Raw genomic sequence first — 24,093 nt, 5'->3', positions numbered from 1 at the left:
TATGTGGGAGCTGAGCTATGAGGATGCAAAGGCATAAGACTGATAAAATAGACTTTGGGGATTCCGGGGGAAGGGTGGGAGGGCAGTGAGGGATAAAAGACTACACACTGGGTACAGTGTACACAGCTTGGGTAATGGTGCACCAATATCTCAGAAATCACCGCTGAAGAACTTATTCATGTAACCAAACACTGCCTGTTCCCCATAACCTATTGAAATAAATAAAACAAAAACAAAAACAAAAAAAAAGATAAAAAAGAATAAAAGCAAAGTAATGTCAAAAAATATGTCAAGTATCCTTAAAAATTGTATAGTTTTTAAGAAAGGCATTTGTCCTCAAAAGCAAAGTTCTGTTTTCAGAAATCAAAAGTTCAGACAAAGATTTATGTAAAAGCTGTTTAATGCATTGAATATAGTAATTAAAAGTAGAGGCAAATCAACTGGCCATATACCTCTATTACATGTATATCAGGTGGAACACAAGTAATTGTAGAAGAGAACGGAAAATTCTCGAAATATTTTGTTGAATAAATGCAGCATGAGATGGAATTGTGTAATAGGATTTTACAAATGCTTATCAAAATAACTGAAAGGAACTAACTACTAGTTATCTCTGGTTATTACAAATGAATTTAAATTTTGTTGTTATGTTTACCTGTCTTTTGTAAGTTCTCTACAATGAAAATATTATACAATGAGAGAGGGAATATAAGTGAGTAATTGAGAATTAGCTCCTGATGCCAGTTCTGGCCCTATCACTTACTATTTAACCTGGGGCAAGTTATTGAGCCTCTCTGTGCCTTGGTTTCCTCATCTGTAAAACTGGATAACAATAGTACATCCACTCAATAGGGGTTTTATGACAGTAAACGATTCAATCACATAAACTTTTAGGACAGTTTCAGGGACAGTGTAAGTGTCAAAAGTGTTAACTATTCTTAATTTTTTAGTAATCACACAAAAAAATTTAAATTATGCAATCTGTCTCTTCCTCAAAGAACACTTTAGTAAACATGTATGCATAGAAGTCCACCTTCCCAATTTTAAGTTTTTTCCTTGGGATAAATTCTCAGAAATAAAATTCCTAGATCCTTGATAATTTTTGCTGAAGTTCTTTCCAAAGCTGCTATAAGACATTTTCATGCCAAAAATATGTGACATCACCTGTTTTAGAAAACCCTTACTAAGTTATTATTTAAAAAATAGGTATGTGATGAGGGAAAATGGCTAATATTTTTAATTTAAATTTCTTTGATAATTTTTGAGATTAATAATTGTTATGCTTACTGTTGCTAAACTTTGTTTTTTGTAAAATCATTCCTATCCTTAACTTAATTATTGGTATCGTAGTGTTTTTCTTATTGACATGTATAAACTCCTCATATGGTAGAAATATTAAGCAACTTTCTGACACAGCAGCTGTGAAGATTTTTCTCATTTGTGGAATTATTACTGTTTTTTGGTTTGATATAAAGTAATTTAAATATCTTATTGTCAAATCTATCCCACTTTTGCTTGGCAAATGTTGGGATTGATTTTAAAATTTAACAACTTCAGATGAGAAGATTTTTGACATAATTCTATATTATTGTATTAGCTCTTAAAAGCTTTTCGGCGATCGCTATCGGGAATGACATTTTTTAATTTTGGAAGAGAACTTTTGCTCACTAAGGTGACTGACCAGGAAGCATGAGTGAGCTTGGTTCATTAATCAGTCTGAAAGATTTCTAAAAATTCTGCGTCATCAGGCAGAATCTTCAAGGTGGTAGCTTACACCCTCATCCCCTTCAAAGTACAAAAACATAGGTTCCTCTCACTAATCACTAGGTTCATGTTGTCCCCAGGGTAGGCAAACTATGACTGAGGCCACATTGACCTCTACCTTGTCAGATTAGGCTAGAAACCACATGGCATACCTCCTTTACAGTGGTTTGATCAAATGGTCAAGTCCCACAGCACAAAACTGTGGCATGTGATGTTTACATGATCCTAGGAAGAAAATGGATGAGCCGATGTTGACAAGAGCTTAAGTAAGTCTCCATGTACATCAAGTACTTTGGAGACGCCAAAGGTGTAACTTTAAAGGGCAAAGACCTCAGGACAAAGCAACTTGAAGAAGCCAGGAACTAAAGACGGGACATTTGGTTCAAAACTTGAAGTGGCTCCCCGCCCCCCGCCCCGAGATTTCATGACAGGTCAGTTTGTGTTTTGATTCCTCAGTTTCTCCATGCTTCTTCCTCTCATTGTCATGTCCTTCCAGAAATATCCTGAATTCTCAAAGCTAAGTGATAGTGAATGTATGTTAGAAAGCAGTCCCTGCCAAAATAAAAGGTTATTTATAACAACAAAAAGTCACTTAGTTAATCAGTATCTAAAGAAGTGGCCACTTGCCTGGACATTTTATTATAAATGAAGGTACTTTCCTTGAATGTTGACCCTCTGCCTTGCCTCGTAGTGGGCTACCTCATCTATGTTACCTTTGTTTTTTTTTTTGAGACGGAGTCTTGCTCTGTCGCCCAGGCTGGAGTGCAGTGGCATAATCTCAACTCACTGCAAGCTCCGCATCCTGGGTTCTTGCCATTCTCCTGCCTCAGCTTCCCAAGTAGCTAGGACTACAGGCACCCACCACCACGCCCGGCTAATTTTTTGTATTTTTTAGTAGAGATGGGGTTTCACCATGTTAGCCAGGATGGTCTCAATCTCCTGACCTCGTGATCCACCTGCCTTGGCCTCCCAAAGTGCTGGGATTACAGGCGTGAGCCACCGCACCCGGCCATTACCTCTTTTCTAGCTATTGTTCACTAAACTGTACGAGCAAACTTGATCTCTTCTTAGGCATTTTCTATGATAATGACAACACATTCCACAAAAATGGTCTAAAAAATATATTTTTTTTGTCTTCAAATATTCCTCCTGACACACTCATGAATCTCTTTGACAGCACTATTGTGGGATAACGTTGACACTCAGACCATAAGAAATGAATGGAAGCTGACAACATGCTTTAACCTAAATTGTAAAGACTGTTGTCTGGCTATTCAAGTCAAAAACAGAGTTTACATAACCACCTAGCATGGTTTCTGGTTATGTAAAATGTGACTGGGTATCTGAATCCTGGATCAAAAGCTTCCTCCACATGAATGGTTCAGTTAGGAGGGGGAAGAAAACCCAAGATTGAACTTTGCCAATGAAAGCATGGATCATTTCACATTTTGCTTTGTGAAAGAGCAGAAAGTAAAGACAAATGAAGAATATGCATGGGGCACATCAGAACACCAGGTCAGTGGAAAAAATAACCCTGGAAAATGTGGGGGAGAGAAGCAAATGACTCAAAGGAAAGTCACGAGGACCTGGCAAGCTTTCAAGAGAAGTTGAATAACAGGGGAAGAGAGATGCTTGATTTGGGGACAAACAACTCAAAAAAGCTGTAAGTTTAGTTCCTCAAGGGTTTGCTGAGCATTTTCTAGAAGCTATGCATCTTGTAGGCCCGAAGTACTGGGCATGGGGGACATACAAAGAAATACATGTTTTCATCCTTGACTTCACAGAGCTCCTGCAGGTTTGAAGCACAAAGCCTTCACGGGGGATAAATAAACATAAGAGGGGGGTCCGATTGAAAACTATAAATGCCCAACATGCAGGGCAGTGAAAACCTATACTATGGGCTATTAGGGATAGACAAGATAGACGTTCACCTGGAATCTGACATGGGCATTAAAATAACGGGGACAATTTGGGCAGATAAAAGACACAGAGTGTCCCAGGAAGGGGTGAGCCTAGGCATAGGTTTAAAGATGGGGATGAGCTTAGCAAGTGTGGGTGCACGGCCAGGAGACCTGCCCGGCAGGGATGGAGGATGTGCCTTGTGGCCAGACTGAAGATTGTGCAGAGTGATAGAATGAAGGGTTTGGCCATGAAACAATTGGCAGCAGAAACTAAAAAGTCACAGTTGTAGTGACACTTGATGCACCATAAGGGTACAATGTCAAATGACGAAAACTGAGCTGAAAAGTGGCATAAAAACAGGTGCTTGTAGTTTTAAGAATCAGTGGGCACCGAATGCATCATGTGATCAACAGCAAATCATTAACTTATTTGGGCCTCAATATTCTCACCTGTAAAATGGGGCTGGTAACTTATATCATAGGGTTGTTCAATTAATAAAACTGGGTTAATATATAAATGTGCTTATAAAATGTAATGCAAATATAAATAATTAGGGCAGGGCTGTGGTGAAATGTAAAAGTGTGGGCTTTGAAGTCAGATAACCGTGGGCCAAAATTCTGGCTCCTCCACTTACTTTTTGTCCTTGGGCAAATTATTTAACCCCCTGAAACCTCAGATTTATCCATTTAAAATTGAGGGTAATATTATAATATCTGTTTGCAGAATGGTGGGTGATTAGAGGAAACATTTAGAAAGTGTCTAGCATAAAATGACCCCTTAGCAGAGGTAACTCTTGTTATAATTTAGCCCTTGGTAGAGGGAACCTCCTTATTAAGAAAGATTAGTCCCCTGGCTTTACATGAATGGAGGGAAATTGAACAGAGGTTGGATAAACTGTTTTAGATGGTGGAGTTTCAGTGGGGAGTGAGTCAGGTTAGTACGTGTCCCTTAAACAACTGGAGGAAGAGAGCTGAGGCCAGCTGGGGAGGTCAGAGCACAGATGACTCCAGGGTCTCTATGTTGAAGGAGAGTGGGATGGCAACTTAATTAGAAAAGGGAGTGAGAATTGGAGGACTTGTCTTGAAGTAGCTTTCATGTAGAAATCATGTTGACTTGACTTGGATGTATATTTATTTAGGGGGGGCGGCTTGGAAGGCTGACAAAGATGAAAATTCTAAATTCTCCAAGAGATACCCTTGGTCCTGACACCTTCCAGAGTGGAAATGTACACATGATACATTTCAGTTATTGGGAATATGCTGTTTACCAGTATCAAAGTACAGTTAACCCTTGAACAACACTAGTGTGAACTGTGAGAGTCCACTGGTGCGTGGGTTTTCTTCTACCTCTGCTACTCCTGAGACAGCAAGACCAACCCCTCCTCTGCCTGCTCCTCCTCAGCCTACTCAACGTGAAGATAACGAGGATGGAGATCTTTATGGTGATCAACTTCCACTTCCACTTCATGAATAGTAAATACATTTTCTCTTATGATTTTCTTATCCTTTTGTCCTTGAGTTTACTTTACTGTAAGAATACAGCATATAATACATACAATATATAAAATATGCGTTAATCACCTGTTTATGTTATTGGTAAAGCTTTTAGTCAACTGTAGTCATTAGTTGTTAGGTTTTGGGGGCGTTATGTGTGGATTTTCAACTCTGTTGGGGGATTTGTCCCTCTTGTCTCCCCATTGTTCAAGGCTCAACCATAATACGTGTATATGGTAACAATATCGTGGTATCAGTGGTAACAATGTAAATGGTATCTAAGAGCTTGAGATTCCTAAGATCTCAATTCAGCAGCCTTCTGCTCCTTTGCTTCCTTTCTTTTTTTTTTTTGAGACAGGTTCTTGCTCTGTCATCCAGGCTGGAGTGCAGTGGAGGTGCAGCCTTTAACTCCTGGGCTTAAGTGATCCTCCTGCTTCAGCCTCCCAAGTATCTGGGACCACAGATGTGCCTCACCATGCCCAGCTAATTTTTAAATTTTTTGTAGAGACAGAATCTCACTATGTTGCCCAGGCTGATCTCAAACTCCTAGCCTCAAGTGATCTGCCTGCCTCGGCCTTCCAAAATGTTGGGATTACAGGCGTGAGCCACTGCGCCCAGCCTGCTCTGTTTCTTTATTCCTTCTTCCCTGAGGTGATCTATTAAAATATTACTGGTTTCTGTTTTTTCCACTGGTAGTTTTTTCAGACTCCTGTTAGTTAAATGTTAGATCTCCTGAATTACTTTTCTAGTCTCTTATCTTATTTATCTTATCGTGTATATTCTGGGAGAGTTCCTCAACTTTATTTTAGAAACTTGACTTTTCTTTTTAATCTAAGCAATTATACTTTTAATTCCTCAAAATTTATTTCTTGTTCTCTGATTGTTCCTTTTTCATAGCTTCTTATCATCATTTTCTAGATGTAATAGTATCTTTGATCTCTCTTTATAAGAAATTGATTCTTTAAAAATGTCTCTTCTGCTTTTGGAATTTTCTGTTTCCTCTGGGTTAGTTATTTTGCTTAGTTATCTTGATGTTTTGTTGTTGTTGTTGCTGTGTTCCTTTTCTAGACCTGGTGGTCCTTTGTTATATGTCTTCACCTAAGAAAAAAGCTTTGGGTGGTTGGTTTGGGTTTCATCCATTGTGTGGATGTGCAATGGCTTCTCATTGGGAAGCTGGCATACTTCTTTTATGGGAAGGTCTTATTCAGGTATTGTATTAGTCTGTTCTCATACAACTATGAAGAAATACCTGAGACTGGGTAATCTATAAAGAAAAGACGTTTAATGGACTCACAGTTCCACATTGGCTGAGGAGGCCTCACAATCATTGTGGATGGTGAAGAAGGAGCAAAGGCCCATCTTACATGGCGGCAGGCAAGAAAGCGTGTACAGAACTGCCCTTTATAAAACCATCAGATCTCGTGAGACTTATTCAATATCACGCAAACAGCACAGGAGAAACCTGCCCCCATGAGTCAGTTACCTCCCACCGGGTCCCTCCCATGACATGTGGGGATTATGGGAGCTACAGTTCAAAATGAGATTTGGGTGGGGACACAGCCAAACCATATCAGGGATGTCAGAGTCAATCCCCCTAGTAAAGCATTAGCTTTCCTCATATAATTTGTTCACTGGCTTTGCAGAAGTGTTGATATTTTACTCCAAAGAAAACTTTCTCTCTGAAAACAAGGGTGGGAAGAGGAGGGTGAGGATGAGGATTTGGGCTGGTGCACGTGCACAATTTAGAGATATCCCATTAAGCCCCCACCTCTCACTCCCACCTGGGTAAAATCTGCTGACTCTGGACCTAGAGCCCTCTTTAGGGCTTGAGGTTCTGCTGGGCAGACTGTATCCTAATCCTTTTCTCCTCCATTAAATGTAGTGGCTTCCTAAACCTCTTTCTTCTGTCTACCCATCCCTATCCGTGTTCCGTGTTACAGAAATGTGTTGAAATTGGTTGAACTCTCTGTATTGGTGACTGTCCTATTCTCTTCACTTTTATGACAGATTCCTTTCTGTACCTCTATACTTTTATTCAGGGGTCTTTGGGAGGAGCCCAAGGCAGATACATTTGCATGGTCTGCATTTGGAATGACAGCCACTGCAGGAGATAGTTGACATCTATTATTAGTTGACATCTAATAGTTGACACACCAAGAAGCCTTGCCAAGAAGGTGCACCATTTTTATTTCACAAATGAAGACACAAAAGGATCAGCATGATTAAGTAACTGATCCCAACCTTACATAGCTAACAAATGGCTAGGCTGATATTCAAACTGGTTACGACACTTTAAAATACTCTTCTCTCTCAAAGGGCAGATTTGTGGTGACCACTTCCTCAAAATGTGTAAGTAAAAGTTACCGTTTCATTGCAATCATTGAAAGACAGGGTGAGCTTTGAGAGAGAGCACAGATCGGGGGCTGTGTGAGTGGCTGTGGCTCCTGCATGCTTCTTTTCGAGCAAAGACCTAAATTCTAGTCCTCTGGACTAGACATTCTGCTAAAGCACAGCCTTTGGCACATTTTTAGCTTTGTTTCTTTATCTAGAAAGCAAGAAGTTTTGATAATCTAGTTGTTAATGTTTCTTTGACATGGAACATTCTACAATTCTCTTGAGTGTTGCTGCAGGTTTTGAGAATTTCCTAATGGTTGGTTTCCAAGAGAAGCAGAGTAATCTCCCTTTCTTCTATGCAAAAACCAAAATAGAGCAGAGAGAAAGGTATAACAATGAAGATAAAGCTCCTTTCCTTGGCAGTCAAAGGCATTTGTGAAGTAGCTACAGGGGCAAGGTGCTCTATGCCTTAGGCTCCCACCCCTTCTTGGATAGGGGCAGTGCTGGATTTCCCATGGAGCTAATGAAACTTAAGCATGAGGGCTTCTCTCTCATATGGGACACTTCCAATATTTTATTTTAAATTCTGTATTCTGAAAGAGGGACCCCAAATGGTATAAACCTCAGGCCGTACAAAGCCAGGATCCTCCCACAGTTGGCAGGAGGGTGGTGTGTCAGCGATGGAGAGAGAGTATCAGCTTCCTTTTGGTGTGGAGTCTGAGAAAGCACAGCACAAAAGGAAATGGGAAACTGACAATCATCTGCTGAGTGTGATGCCAAGTCAAATAATTCAGACACAGCATCCAGTTCAGTCTTGATTTATCTCCGTGGCCCAATGTTCTATGACTTGGGCTAACTTCACTTCCATTTCTACAGGCTAGTTTGTGCTGAAGCCAGGAGGCTGTCCACACCAGGGGAGAACTGGGAGGTGCTCCTAAGGAGCTTCTTTCTTCTTTATTTTTGGGAAACATGCTTAAAGCTGAGGACCAGGCAGAATAGTTTAAGTTGGAAATGTAAAGGGGCAATTCTCTGCATTTAGTTGATCCTGATCCTGTGGGAGTAGCTTAGCTGAAATGTGGTAGAACATTTTCTCTTGGTAGATTACAAGTTTCAAAAATACCTTCCATGCATCAGAATTTTCTAAATGCATCCCTGCTTACAGTGAGGCTGAGGGAACAAATTTCACTCAGGAAATTCCAGTCATTTGAAAAAGAAACTCTTAGGGGACTTGCTAGAAAATTGGAAAAGGGGAAAGGTAGATCAATGTATATATTAGAGTCTGCAAGATTATCAGGTTCCAGGCCCATGATGTAGTGTGATAACAACCAAGGAAAATATGGAAGTAAGGGCAGTAGGTTTGGTATTAAGCCATGCTGAGCAAAAGTTGTTCTTCTCAACATTTCCTTAGGTAAACCACCCATGCTAAAGTCAAGTATTAAGATTTTAGCACGATGGTCCAGGGGTATTTTTACGTAGTTCTTGAGGCTTTAATAGTTGTGCAAGTCATTCACCACCATGTGAGAGTCTCTGGCATTGCCAATATCTTGGTTAGAAATCTTTTGGTTATAGGTGACAGAAAAATGAACCCAAATCAGCATATGCATACACGTAATTGGAGAGTGCAGGGCAGCACTAAGATGGATTTAGCAGCTCAAACAATGTCATTAGGATGGGATTCTCTCTTCCTCATCTCATGGTTTTTTCCATGTGTGGGTGTTGGTAGTGGCTGGATGGCTCGCAGCTCCAGCTCAAGTTTATTCACTGAGGTACCAGGTTTAGGAGATGCCACTGAAACAATCATACCGGAGGGTATATCAGTTAGGATTCTGCATGATGAAAGTCATAGAAAACCTAAGTCAAACTAGACTTGGCAGAAACAGTGTGTTGGCTCACATAACTGGAAGCCTATGGAAGCTCTGATTTGGGGTAGAGCCTGCTTTAAACCTCTAACAATATCCACGAGATTTCTGTCTTGTCTGCGCTTTCTGTAGGTGCCAGCTGCCTTCACTCAGTGACTCCTTTCATAGGCCAAGAAGGCTGAAGCAACCTACACCCCTCTGCCTCTTGTCCTCCCACTACCAAGTCCAAAAGAAGAGTGGTAACTTTTCTTTGGCTGGGTTTATGTTATCCTTGAAGAAATCATCTTGCCAGGCAGATGGCCAATCTGGACTAAAGTAAGACTATCATGGTCTATTGGTTGGAACTGGGACAACACCATCCAAACTTCTGAACTGAAAACTCGGCTCTGTAACCAGAAGGAACAGGTGTGGATAGTGGGCAGTAAACCACAAATGCCTGCTATTAAACAAATACCCATGACAAGAGTTGTGTTTTGTTAGTGATCAGAACATTAGCAGAGGAAAAAAGGCAAAGAAAAGGTATATTTATCATGATTCTGCAGAGAAACAGAACAAATAGGATATGCTCTATAGATCTATCTATCTATCTATCTATCTATCTATCTATCTATCTATCCATCACATGAGGTTTACAAGGAATTGGCTCATGCAATTATGGAGACTGAGAAGTCCCACGATCTGCTGTCTGCAATCTGGGGATGCAGAAAACCTGGCGGTATTAATATAATTCCAGTCCAAGTCCAAAGGCCTGAGAACCAGGAGTGCTGATGGTGTAAGTCCCAGACCAAGGGCAGCAAAAGACCAATGTCCTAGCTGAAGCAGTCTAGCAGAGAGAGAGAATTCCTCCTTTGTTTGTCTCTTTGTTCTGTTCAGGCCCTGATGGGTTGAATGAAATCCACCCACAATGGGAAGGACAATCTACTTTACTCAGTCCACCAATTCAAGTGCTAACCTCTCCCAGAAACACCCAAACAGACACATCCAGAATAATGTTTAACCAGACTCTGGGCATCCCGTGGTCTAGTTACGCTAACACATGAAATTAATCATCCCAGAATGTGTCCTGTCAGACCCCTATTAGCTTCAATAGTGATGGCACCAGGTTGAAGAGGCCAAAGAAGAGACCCAAAGCCAACAAACGAGACATGGAGTTTGATTAGCAGGAAACTTACAAACAAGGTGGTCCAGTGGCAGCTGGCTAGACAGGAGAACCACCTTACCTACAGTCCAGTGGTGGTGGGCTAGACAGAACCGCCTTACCTACAGTCCAGTGGTGGCAGACTATACAGGAGAACTGCCCTACCTACAGTCCAGTGGTGGTGACTGGACAGGAGAACCGCCCTACCTACAGTCCAGTGGTGGTGACTGTACAGGAGAACTGCCTTGTCTACAGTCTAGTGGTGGTGACTGTACAGGAGAACTGCCTTGTCTACAGTCTAGTGGTGGTGACTGTATAGGAGAACCACCTTACCTACAGTCCAGTGATGGTGACTGTACAGGAGAACCACTTTACCTACAGTCCAGTGATGGTGACTGTACAGGAGAACCACTTTACCTACAGTCCATTGGTGGTAACTGTAAGGAGAACCACCTTACCTACAGTCCAGTTGTGGTGACTGCACAGGAGAACCGCCTTACCTACAGTCCAGTGGTGTTGACTGTACAGGAGAACCGCCTTACCTACAGTCCAGTGGTGTTGACTGTACAGGAGAACCACCTTACCTACAGTCCAGTAGCAGCAGCCTAGGCAGCACCATAACTGGTTGCAAAGAGCATGTGGTTTATGCAGCATTTTTCACTCAGCACCCTCCCTCTAACAACCACCTGGCAACCTTCATTTAACCCAAAACAAAGGGCTTCCATCCCCTGTACACCCATGTTTTATGGGATGGGATGGCCCTGGGGCTTAGATGTTCCTCATAGATAAGGAATGAAACTGTGTTGGCCACTCCCGAATTCCTTAGCTTGGAACTCTGAACACACATTCAACTGCATTGGCCATGCAGGGTCATTATTAGGATATGCTTAAGTTAACTTACCGCTGTCAGGTGTGTCTACCATACAGAAAGGTGAGAGAAAAAGAAAGAAAATGCGCATTTATGAAGTGCCTACTGTATCACCTAAGAATGTCAGGCATTCTTAGATCCTCCCAACGACTTCAGTTACAGATGGAATAAAGTATCCTGTCCAAAAACACGTAGCCAGAGGGATGGAGGCAGCTTTCAAATGCAGGATTGCCTCCTTCAAAGCCCATCAGTGAAGCTCTGCTGAAGTAAGAACACAAAAGCTGGATTTGAATTACACAATGACAGCTGTGTCATATGCATAGCTATATCACCACCCCAGTGGTTCTCAAAATGTGCCTTTCAGAGCGTCGGCAAGGTCCTTCTTTTTTCAGCTGTATTTGTATGAAGCCAAGTTTTCTTCAGCTATTTCAGCCAAAACAACACATCGCAACAGATTAAATGCAGAGGCAGACAGGAAAATCCAGCTGTCTTCTATTAAGCAAGGTATTTTATAAAGATATCATATAAGATTTGCAAACAATGTAAAACAATGACACTGCAAATTTTCTTTGGTTTTGGAAAATAGTTATTTTTAAAAATAAAATATATGTCATTTGTGTTAATACGTAATGTATTCGCTATAGTCATTTTGGGTTATTTAATGGATGAAACAGTTTTAAAATTTCTCTTTTAATTTCTAATATGATAAATATCAATAGGTATAATTTCCATAAACAAAAGCTCTTGGGGTCCTCTATACATGTTAAAGAGATGCTGAGACCTGGGCCGGGTGCAGTGGCTCATGACTGTAATCCCAGCACTTTGGGAGGCCAAAGTGGGTGGATCACAAGGTCAGGAGTTCGAGACCATCCTGCCAAACACGGTGAAACCCTGTCTCTACTAAAAATACAAAAAAATTAGCCGGGCATGGTGGCAGACGCCTGTAGTCCCAGCTACTTGGGAGGCTGAGGCAGGAGAATGGCGTGAACCCAGGAGGCGGAGCTTGCAGTGAGCCAAGATCGCACCACTGCACTCCAGCCTGGGTGACAGAGCCAGACTCCATCTCAAAAAAAATAAAATAAAAATAAAAAGAGATGCTGAGGACTGCTGCACATAAAGGTGGCAGGTCTCAAAAAATAATCCTCAGGTAGAAGTTTTCAGGTATCTGAACTTAACATTGCATTCTCTTGCATGGACTTTGCTTTTCAAACAGTTGGACTTTTGTCTTTTAAAAATGACTGAGTCTATTTTCCAAGGTAAAAATAGCCTGGAAAACCAGGGCATGAATTTTGTTTTAAATTTAATTTTAAGTTCAGGGGTACATGTGCAGGTTTCTTACATAGGTAAACTTGTATGGTAGGGGTTTGTTGCACAGATTATTTCATTACCTGGGTATTAAGCTGAGTACCCATTAGCTATTGTTTCCGATCCTCTCCCTCCTGCTACCCTCCACTCTCCACCCTCTGATAGGCTCCAGGGTGGTGTTCTCCTCTGCGTGTCCATGTGTTCTCATCATTCAGTTCCCACCTATAAGTGAGAACATGTGGTATTTGGTTTTCTGTTCCTGTATTTGTTTGCTAAGGGTAACGGCCTCCAGCTCCATCCATGTTCCTGCAAAGGACATGATCTCGTCCTTTTTTATGGCTGCATAGTATTCCATGGTGTATATGTACCACATTTTCTTTATCCAGTCTACCATTGAAGGGCATTTAGGTTAAAAGCAAATTAGATGCCCGAGCATGAATTCTTGATAGCTCTTTATCATCCACTGTGTTGAAATCACATTCCCACCCAAGCTTACTTTAAAAATAAGAGGCAGAATGCTTGATTAACACTTTGGGAATGGAGTCGCTGAGACATGGAGTCAGCAGAGTGGGTCAGTAACATCGTGTGCCCCAGTGGAATAGCATGATCTTAGCAGGAAGTGTTACGTGGAGTGCACTTTTTCAGTGAAAAAGGCCAAGGAAGAATTAATGTCCATAATGAAACTAATGACTATCATGCAGCATGTTTTCAATTTTTATTTAATTTTTCATCTCACTTTGTTTTACTCAGCCTTTGCCAGAGGGGTTAAAAGAGAGAAAGCAAGCATGAAGAAAGAATATGAAAGTGAAGACCAGGAAATCCATAAGTTAGATAATAGTTTCTTTTCTTTTTTCTTTTCTTTTCTTTTTTTTTTTTTTTTGACAGAGTTTTGCACTGTTGCCCAGGCTAGAGTGCAATGGCACCATCTCGGCTCATCTCAACCTCCACCTCCCGGGTTCAAGCGATTCTCCTGCCTTAGCCTCCTGAGTAGTTGGGATTACAGGTGCCCACCACCTGTATTTTTAGTAGAGATGGGGTTTTGCCACGTTGGCCAGGCTGATCTTGAACTCCTGACCTCAGGTGATCCGCCCGCCTCGGCCTCCCAAAGTGCTGGGATTACAGGCATGAGCCACCGCACCCAGCCTAGTTTCTTGAATAATCAAGAATTGTGGACATTTCTAGATCTAGAAGACTGGAGGACACTTTACTGTTTTATGAAAGCTCTGTCTAATGGTAGAGGCTCTTTTAAGATTTTTTAACAATTGGGAGTATTATTTTCCAGCTTAGTAATTTAAAATTATTAAGACAAGTTTAGCCTTCAAAGCAAATTCCAGATTGTCTGATTTGTCATGCAAAGTGCTGGATGTTTTATCATATAAGAAACAGAACTGGCCGGGCGCGGTGGCTCACGCCTGTAATCCCAGCACTTTGGGAGGCCGAGGCGGGTGGATCATGAGGTCAGGAGATCGAGACCATCCTGGCTAACAAGGTGAAACCCCGTCTCTACTAAAAATACAAAAAATTAGCCAGGCGCGGTGGCAGGCGCCTGTAGTCCCAGCTACTCGGGAGGCTGAGGCAGGAGAATGGCGTGAACCCGGGAAGCGGAGCTTGCAGTGAGCGGAGATTGCGCCACTGCAGTCCGCAGTCCGGCCTGGGCGACAGAGTGAGACTCCGTCTCAAAAAGAAAAGAAAAAAAAAAAAAAAAAAAAGAAACAGAACTATTTATTGGTTTTTGGACTAAGTTAAGCCCATTTCACATTTTTGTGAAAAGGCAAAAGTTCATTTTATTTTAAGTTTGCCTCTGTGGCAAATCACATGTACAAGTTTTTCTGAACAAAAAGTCCAAATTTAGGAACTTAGAAAGCAGAGGCTCACTGGATTTTGCTGCTAAGGAAGCTTAAATAGATACGGCTATGAGCTGATCTCTAGGCCCTGGAGATCTTGACAGCCAGGTTGTTCCAACTGAAATCAAAGCATAGTGGTTGGGGCTTTTAGATAGAGTAGGATAGAGTAGCCTGAGGGATTTGGGAAAGAACTGACTGAATCCTGGAGGAAGTAGAGGGACTTGAAAGCTGCAAAAGAACACACAGTGTGATAGAAATGGGGTGTATTTTAGGGACAATTTGGACTCAGTGGAAAGAAGTCGAGGGCAATAGCTAACTATATTGCATCTCCAAAATTGTTCTTACAATTTAGTAGCTATTTGGAATTTAATTTAATTTTACTTTTTATTGAATATCACTGTTTTTAAGCTCTCTGTGAGGTATACTGTGGGAAACAAAATATAAATGCTATGGTCCTAGCCTTTAAGAAATCTACAATCCAGAAAAAAACCCAAGAAACATCTCCAAATGTTTACCATCTAGGATAGTGTGATAATACTAAATTAAAGGCACCATGTACTTTGGGATTGCATAAAAAGGAGAGGTTTATATCCATTCGGAGATTTGGGAAAGTTCTCATAGTGTAGGTAATATTTAAATTGGATTTTATTAAGGATGAAGTTTCAAATGGAGAAAGTGGGTGGAAGGGCATTTCAAATGAATGATTGATTAAACAGTGTCAGTGGGTATAGTGTTTGGGGCACAGTTTGGACAATCGTAGGGTGCCTGACCTAACCCTGGCCTCAGTTAAGGATGACTAGCCCACTCACGATAATATGGATGGACCAAGGCAGACATGTGGCCCCTACTGTCCAGGCTGGTTGGACCAGAGAGGAGCAGCTGATCCAAAAGCAGCCAACCTATGGCTGGCCTGGGTCCTGACCTGGAAAGCTTTGCACAAATAGGGAAGAACTGGGTTGGCTGGAGTCTCATTCCTAAAAAATTGCATCCTGAAATGAAGAAAATCGGCAGTTAGGTTTGGAAAGTGAAGCTGAGAAGATGTGTGCACCAGGAGAAATGAGGTAGAGAAGGACATTATGAATAAGAGATATCATGAAGTTGAAATTATTACAAATCGGACACTACATATTAGGAAAAAGTGTATATAATAGACAGTGGGGAAGCCAGAGGGTAACTGTTATTATGTCTGCTGGTCTGAGTAAATCCAAAGAGACCCCAACTAAGCTGTCTTATATGGCTGGAACAGAGGAACAATGATGGGTGTGTAGAGTGGTGGAAATGTAGGTTGGTGCCAGTTTGTGGAGGTCAAGGCATTCTATGCACATCTCGAGTGCTTTTGTCTGTTTCTCAGCCAGGAATTTTTAATTAAGAGATGCATACGGCCAGGCATGGTGGTTCATGTCTGTAAACCCAGCACTTTGGGAGGCCAAGGCGGATGAATCACTTGAAGTCGGGAGTTAGAGACCAGCCTGACCAACATGGAGAAACGATGTCTCTACTAAAAAAAATAAAAAAATACAAAATTCATCTAGGCATAGTGGTGCATGCCTGTAATCCCAGCTACTCGGGAGGCTGAGGCAGAAGAATTGCTTGAACCTGGGAGGCAGAGGTTGCGGTTAGCAGAGATCACACCATTGCGCTCCAGCCTGGGCAACAAGAGCAAAACTCCCCCTCACAAAAAAAAAAAAAAAAAAAAAAAAGAAAAAAAGAAAAAAGGATGCATAAGACAGCTCCATTCTCAAGGAATTTATAATACAGAATCAGGTGGAGAAAATATAGCCACACAAATAGCTATCATTGAAGACTGACAGATAAAATACTAAGCCACCAAAGAAGTATGGATCCTGTGGTGGAGGAGAGGGGTTGTCTAGGAAGACTTCACAGAGGAGATGGCAATGCTAAGGACTTTAAACATTATTCTGATTCCATGAAAAAGTTTTGAGCAGGAAAATCATGAGTATATAAATGTTAGAGAAAGGTGACTCTGGCCTAAGGATAATTGGATGAAAGGGAGGCTGTAATAAAGGAGACTGGTTTCAATGGTTGGGAGGATAATTCAGTAGGAGGGAGACATAGCTGTTTCATCTCACGGTTGTGAGAACCCAACCCTGGCCTGTTCTAATGGAAAGCATCTGGCTTATTGAGATGTTTTCGGCTCTGGGCTCAAATAACTAAAGGAAAACTCAGTAGACCAAGAATGCAAAACAGCAGAATTGGCCTTAGTGAAACAGTATGAGCTGTTAACTATGTAACGTTTTTAGAAGCTGTGTGGATGCTGGAAAAACTTCCTGCCTGTAACTATCAGCTTCATTAATTTGCCGTAGGTGCCTAAAATCCCCTCACTGGGGATCTCTTCCTTTGTTGTTAAGCCTTGTTCTCTTCTGGGAGTGGTGGTGATGTTGAGGGAGGGGTGGAGTAGGAGGGATGTTTATTCTGAAGAGGTTAAATTAGTATAGTGCTCTATTTGTCAAGACTCTTGGTTGCAAGTGACAGAAAACCCAGCTCAAAGCAGCTTAATCAGAAACCTGGATCATTGGAACCAGGTACTGGAGCGATGTCAAGAGGACACATCTCCCCATCTCTGGAATCTGTTTTTCCCTCTGCTCACTTCATTTGGGCAGTCTTGTCCCCAGATGGTGGCAAGACGGTTCTGTCAGCAGCACCAGTAGGAGAGCAGTGTTTTTCCTTGTGGCCTTTGGAGAAGTTCCGGAGGGAACTGCTTACTTGGTTGACTTTGTTTATATGCCCTTTCCTCACCTGTCACTGTGGCCAACGGATGGAACACGTGGCTTGGGTGCCCAGTCATGGGTCCACCCTGGATACTGAAGGTGGAGTCAGTTCCACCTCAACCGCAGGCAGAGAGTGAGGAAGGGATAGTTCTCCAGAGAAAGCAGGCTACTACCAGGAAAAAGGAGAAGGTTTATAGAGCAGGCAAAGAACAGATTCTACTGCAGCTAAGTTTATGGGCAAATGTGCCTATTGGATTGCCCTTCTAGGATAGTGAAAGCTAAAGGCCCGGAAAGTAGTGGGAAGCTGCTAAGAAGTGTGTGGGACAGAGGGGAGCTGGAGTCCCAGTAAGGAGAGGTTGGAGCTGCCAAAGACACTGTCACAATTTTGCCTCTGGCAGGTCAAAGCCTAGGTGGGTCCCTGAGAGTTACTATTACCATTATGGGAAAAGAACACCTTTAAGAGTCCACAGGTAGAATTAAAAATGACTAATCAAATGGAGAACTCTTACAGAGTGTATCAACTGCTCAATGTTCTGAACTGAAATGTTTTTCTTGATTCTCTTGGGTTTTGGTATCTGTTATATGTATGACTTGCGTTTTTCTTGCTGCAGGTGTGATTTTATATTTAAAAGGACAATAATTTTTACCTTTGAAGGTTATTTATTTATTGTTTGTTTTATTGTTTGTTGTGAAAATCAAGGGATTATTTTTTTCCTTAAGGCATTGTTTCCTTATTTCAACATCTTTTTTGTTTGTTTGTTTTTGGTTTGCCTGCAGTTTTGGTGAACAGAAGGTAACATGGCAGGATTTGGTGTGCTTTAATGTTGTTTATGCTTGCCAGTGATGAATGCCAGTCATACCAATTCCCTTGTAAAGGCAAGTCACTAGAGAACCCTCCCCCATCCCAAGCCCATGCCTGTGGCTGGAGTCCCCCGGGAGCTTACAGTGGCTGAGCGGGGAGCGGGGTGAACCTGCACACACCCTGTAGCGAGTCACATCCAGAAATCTTGCTACTCTTTTCTTAGCTGAGGAAAAATGTTCCATTAAGCTTTGGCTGCCAATTTTGTCCACAAACTTTGGAAACTGACAGTTGGGTTTTGAAGACTAATTATTTTCCCCTAAGCAGTGTGTCATCAGTTTCCCTGGCTGCCTGCAGGTGAACCTTGGCTTCTGGCCAGGCTTCTTCCTAGGGTAACTGCCTTCTATCTAAAGATCAGGCTCTTGGCTCTAGCTCCGCAATTCTCAGTTTCAGAGTTGCTCTCACTTCTGAAGCCAATAACCATTTATTGAGGTCAGGACTGTCTAAGACAGCAGCCAGAATCCACTTGTGGCTATTGAACATTTGAAATGTGCTTAGTCCAAGCTGTGGTGTGCTGCAAGTGTAAAATACACATCAGATTTTAAAGACTTAGTATGTTATAAATAGAATTGTGTCCCCCCACCCCACAAAATCCATATGCTGAAGCCCTAAACCCCAATGGGAGGTTTGAAGTAAGAAAGTAATTAAGCCTAAATGAGTTTATAAGGGTGGGATCCTCATAGGAATAGTGCCTTTATAAGAAAAGACACCAGAGAGCTCTCTCTCTGCTATGTGAGCACACTGTAAGAAGGCGGCTGTCTGGAAGTCAGGAAGAGAGCCCTCACAAGAACTTAACCCTAGTGGTACCTAGATCTGGGACTTCCAGCATCCAGACTTTGAGAGAATAAATTTCCGTTGTTGGTGCTACTCAATCTATGCCACTTTATTTTGGCAGGTGTAGGAAACTAATATATAGTATGAACAAATAATGTAAAATATCTAGTTAATATTTTTATATTGATGACATTAAAATAATAAAATACATTATTACAATTAATTTTACCCGTTTTATTTCACTTTTTAAAAAGTGGCTATGAGAAAATTTTAAATTATACATGTGTCTTCCATTACAGGGCACTGGTGACCTAGACCCATGAGTTATTATTAAATTGTCTTTACTTGTCCTATTAGATTATTATTCAATCTTTGTTCATGAGGGATCTCTAAACTTCTCTTTGGTTTATGTAATTTTCTGTTTCTTTTTTCTTTAAGAGCCAGAAGATTAAAATAAAACAAAATAAAAAAGAACAAACACATAGAAACCAAAAGAACACAAGCGACATAAACCCTGCTGTTTTGTGGTGTTAATATTTTTTGATTAAAAGGATTTATCTCCTTTTGATCTCTTTTCTGCCTTATTTCTTGCATATTGAAGCCAACCTTGGAACAAATTTTAACATTCATAGTATAAAATGACAAATCCTATGGGAAAAACAAACCTGAAGGGAGTTGGGGGAGTTTCTGCATTTTCAGCACTGGGTCTTTCATGGTGGATGGGATGGTTATGGTTATGAAATAAGGCAGAAGGTCTCCTGTTTTGTTTTCAATAGGCCAGGGCTGAGCTCAGCTTTGAGGAGGGTTACCTGTCGAAGCGTCTCTGGCTAGAAGCAGGGAAGGTTCTGCCAAGCTCTGTTGGATGCATCCTTAGCCACACCAAATGGGCCTCTGAATAGGCCCAGAAAACTGGGGACTCCTTGCTCATGTCACCTGTAGTGAGGGGAACATCTTGCTAACAGCAGAGCAAACTGCAAAATGTTCTGGGTTAATGCATATGCTTTGGGCAGGTCTACCTTTAGTAAGAAAGCTTCTGGTACGAAATTTTGCTACTGAAATTTATGGTCTTCACAAGTAGAGGCATTTCTGTTTGTTCTGAAGTCCAATTTGTTTAGTGTATTTCCTGCTTTTCTTGAATTTTATCATTGGCAACAAATATTGCCAGTTGTTTACCTTGACCTGACAGATTTATTTGGTTGACTTTTTGAAAAGTTTCTGCCAAGTAACCAAATCAGAATAACCATGATCTGCTGTCAGTCATTCTTCCAAGTACCAATGATGTTCTGTGAAGAATAGTGACTAATGCGACTTGCAACTCAAATGATCCCAGAAGTCAAGCATCATTCTTTGTCACGCAGCTGACGCACTTTATGTCTGACTCCCATTTCTTCAAATATAATACAGTATTTTTAAAATGTATATGCAAGTGTTCAGATTTAGTCAGTTCATTTTTACTGCCGCATCAGGGCCATCAGTAAGTAAAACACCCCCTCCCACCTCGCCCCAACCCACCAGTGGCTGGCAGTGAAGAATACAATGATTGCTAGTTGAATTTAGTACCATTTCTTGATTTGTGCTGAGTGGCCAGTAGTTTGACCCATTGCTTTTGCACCATGAGTGCAAATGTCAACACACTAAAAAACGAAAATAGTATCTTTATTTTATTATGAAAATAGCTTTAAACTCCAAGACCCCCGAAGGGTCCTCAGGGACTCCTTGGGGTCTGAAATTAACACACTGAAAAGTATTTTTCCAAAGTGTATTACAAATGGAGGGTACTGTAATTCTCTTTCTAAAAATTAAAAATCATATTAAGATAACTCATTGTTGGAAATGCTGAAGCAGACTCCAGAACACCTGGGTGGGAATGTCGTCTAGGGAATGCCTGCATCTCTCAGAAGACGGAACTCAACAATTGTTACAGTGTCCTTCAGTTTGACGATTTTTGTGCTGTGTGCTGACAACTATTTCCCAAGGCTGATTTGGCATAGTGGGTCAGTTTCCTTCCTAATTATGTTGGAAAGGTGGAGATTACTCTTTAGAATCCCTGAATGACTGAAAGTTCTTCTCTATTCACGAGAAATCTCATAGGTCCTGTGGCCTCAAAATCTGAATCAGTTTGGATGATTTAGATCAGCTGTAGTTACTTTGGGGATGCTAATGGACTCCTTGGCTATTTCTAGTTACAGGCAAAGTAGGGGATTCAACTTGGCACAATTGCTTCATTGGGATTGGAGCATGGGCTCTGCAAAGACTGAGAAGAGATGCAAAGGCCATGTTCTCCATTCTTTCACACATGAGGCCAAGAGAGCGTTTGTTTTCTCACACATTTTTTTTTTGAATTAAAAATACTAATTGGTGACATTGCTTTGAGAAATTGTTTGATATCTCAGTAGAAATCCTAACACATTTTGCAAAGTACTCACCTACATCATATTTTAGAGTAAAGAAGTAAACAGGCAAAATGGAAATTATTTCCATATCGGTATGATACTGTACATTGAATTTGTACATTGCCCTGCATGTACAATGAAAGGAAGAGTCTAGAATTCAGTCTCAACAAACATATCTATCTATCTATCTATCTATTTGTAGATAGATATACACACACACACGTAACTATATTAATACAGCTCAGTGGCTTTTTCAATATGTTTTTATAAGATATATTTCTCCTGGTATAAGAATAATTTCACACTTTTCGTTTAGGTGTTCTCAGATCAGACTTCTGCCTCATTTTGCCACCAGTGATGCAAATATGTGTCAGTGTCTTAAGATAAGTCCTTTAGGTGTCCTTTATTCTGGTATGTCCTTGGAGAGATTGCCTTTAAGATTTGATTTAAAATAAGAAAATAGGTATAATGGGTACAGATACACACTATTAGTGGGAAGATTACATAAGTCCAGAAATTGGACCAGCCTAAAATCTCACCTTTTAGAAATAATTTTTTGTCTTTTCTATTTATTTTCATTGTCATAAAAAGAAGCACATAATACTTAACCTTTGCTTTGCATTGTATCCGATGACAAGCCTTCTGAATTTCACACAACACATAATTTTATTTCCTTCATACACCAGTTTCCCACGTAGATATTCCTAGGTGTAATCAGACAATATTATTTTTATTTACCAGATTAGGTCCCCCCAAAAATAGATGGGTAGTAAGGAGGAAGGTTTTAATAAGCTTTCCATATTTCTGTTTGTTTTCATACACTCCCAAGCCTAGATTTGCCATGTTCAAATTAAGTAATATCTGCCCAAATGGAAAATGTACATGCCTTGCTGGTCCTAGATCCTCTACATGGTACCATGCTGACACCAAAACAACACTCTTTAGAAGCTTGGACCTTTGTATCCAACTCAGCCAATGGAGCTTAGCACCATCGAATTTCCTACCTGGTTGTTCCATGTACACAGGATTTTGATTCATGCTTGCAGAGTTCACCTTTAAATGGCCAGGACTTTCTCTCTCAATCTTCCCTCCAGTCTAATTACTGGACTGTTTAACTGGAAGTCTTTTGAGGGCAGCATTAATACATTCTTATTCAGACGAATTTATGAGTTTTAGCTCAATGTGATGTTTTAAATCTAATAAGAATCCATAAAAGAAACTTCTTGTGAAGTTAAATTACTTGTACAGACAATTGAATGGGAAGCTAATTATGCCAGTTTTGCAAAAGAATGACTTTATAATTTTAGGTAAGATACTGATCTGTGGTAATAGTTTTATTATCTATACACTGAGAGGTTTAGTATTTAAGACAAATCCTCAATCTCATATGTTCATAGACATTATCAAGCAAAACTGTGTCTATTTTCATTATCACCATTATGTTGCCTTTGGCACTAAGTGGTACAGTTGCCATCCATATAATGAAAAAATAATCAGCAAATTTAAATGAGCAAATTCTGGGGTTTAAATCAGTTATTTGGTGGACTTACATGATTATTTGACTGAATTGTTTCAATAGTCTAGCCAATAATATGAGTTAAGTACTTTCAGAGAAAGTAGCCACAGCATTTCTCAGTGGGTTTATTCAATGCCCTCAACCCCTACTGGAGAGATGTTGATGCTATATGTGATATTTCTTGGACGTTGAAGCTTTTAGTTCGGAGGGTGAGGGTGATGAATGGACCTTCTGAGTGGAGGACTAGGGAAGAGGACACCATGGATTCTGTCTTCCTCTCTTAGGTTGGAAAGTATGGCAAATTAAAGAGGGAAGGAAGCATCTGTAATTGATTAGAAATGAATCTGGTATGCAGGATGACAGGTCCCTGAATGGCCTTGGCTGAACCAGCTCTTCCATCTCCTGTTTGTAGTTGTCAGGATAATTGCAGAATGTGCTGAGAATGCAGTATCCTGAGATAAGGAGGAAATTTCTGCAACAGCCCAAGCTTTGTCCTATTCCTTCCTAGGACAGGATGTCTTGCAACACTTTAGCTCAGTGATCTGTTTCCTTGGGGTCCTGCAACGCTTCAGCTCAGTAATCCGAGTTCCCCCAGGGTATAAAATCCAGTAAGATTACATCTTCCCTAGGCAGTTTTCCTGAGCCCTGGGGAGCCAGCTCACCGTGGATTTGAGACTTCTGTTGATTCATGCTGCCTGTCTGGGAGTGATAAAGTTGCTCTGCATGACTTCTTGTGTAAGTGTTCTGTCTCACTAGACTCATATGTTGGAGGTTGGGTTTATGTAAAACCTCTGGTAGCTGGGTTTGTGCAAAACCTCTTGCCAGATCTAAAAACCTTAGCAGACATTGGCAAGGTATTTAGAGTTCTCTGGAATTGATGCTGGTGGATGGTATTGGTGAGGTGTTTAGAGGCCTTCCCTGGGATTCATAACTGATGCATGGTCCCAAGGGTTGATATTGGTGCATGGTATTCTGCTTAACAAGGAAAGACTTCAAAGACAACAAGAAGGTCCACATCTTGTGACTGGGGATACCTGGATTAGATCTTTCCATTTCTAAGAAAGGGAGCTTTGACTCTTTCCAAAGCACTTAATTTATTCTTCATCTAATGCTCCATAAAAGTAGTAGAATTGAAAGTGTATGTGGAATAATGATGTACATGATATTGAGAGAAGGGACATATTTTCATTCTCAGGGAAACCTGTTAGCCTATGGAATTCATAATGGAAAAATCATTAATTTGTCTGTTTCTTGTGGTGACACTTGTATATAAAACCACTGAGTAGCTGGATGGGGAGATGGAATCTACTGACTT

At 40.9% G+C, this 24,093-nt stretch overlaps 1 pseudogene across 1 annotated transcript in view; it reads left to right on the top strand.

Annotated features, from left to right (window-relative positions):
• The first annotated feature begins 1,964 nt into the window (after window positions 1-1,964).
• Window positions 1,965-24,093, top strand: part of OFCC1 (orofacial cleft 1 candidate 1 (pseudogene)) — a 506,631-nt pseudogene continuing 484,502 nt past the window's right edge. Inside the window, exon 1 of the transcript NR_170155.1 lies at window positions 1,965-2,195. The product of NR_170155.1 is annotated as an orofacial cleft 1 candidate 1 (pseudogene) (transcript). The remainder of the gene's footprint in view (window positions 2,196-24,093) is intronic.

This window comes from Homo sapiens, chromosome 6 (genome assembly GCF_000001405.40).
Source record: "Homo sapiens chromosome 6, GRCh38.p14 Primary Assembly".
In the NCBI taxonomy this organism is placed as follows: Eukaryota; Metazoa; Chordata; class Mammalia; order Primates; family Hominidae; genus Homo; species Homo sapiens.
The sequence above is the reverse complement of the archived record's forward strand: the minus strand, read 5'-3'. Positions and strand labels throughout refer to the sequence as shown.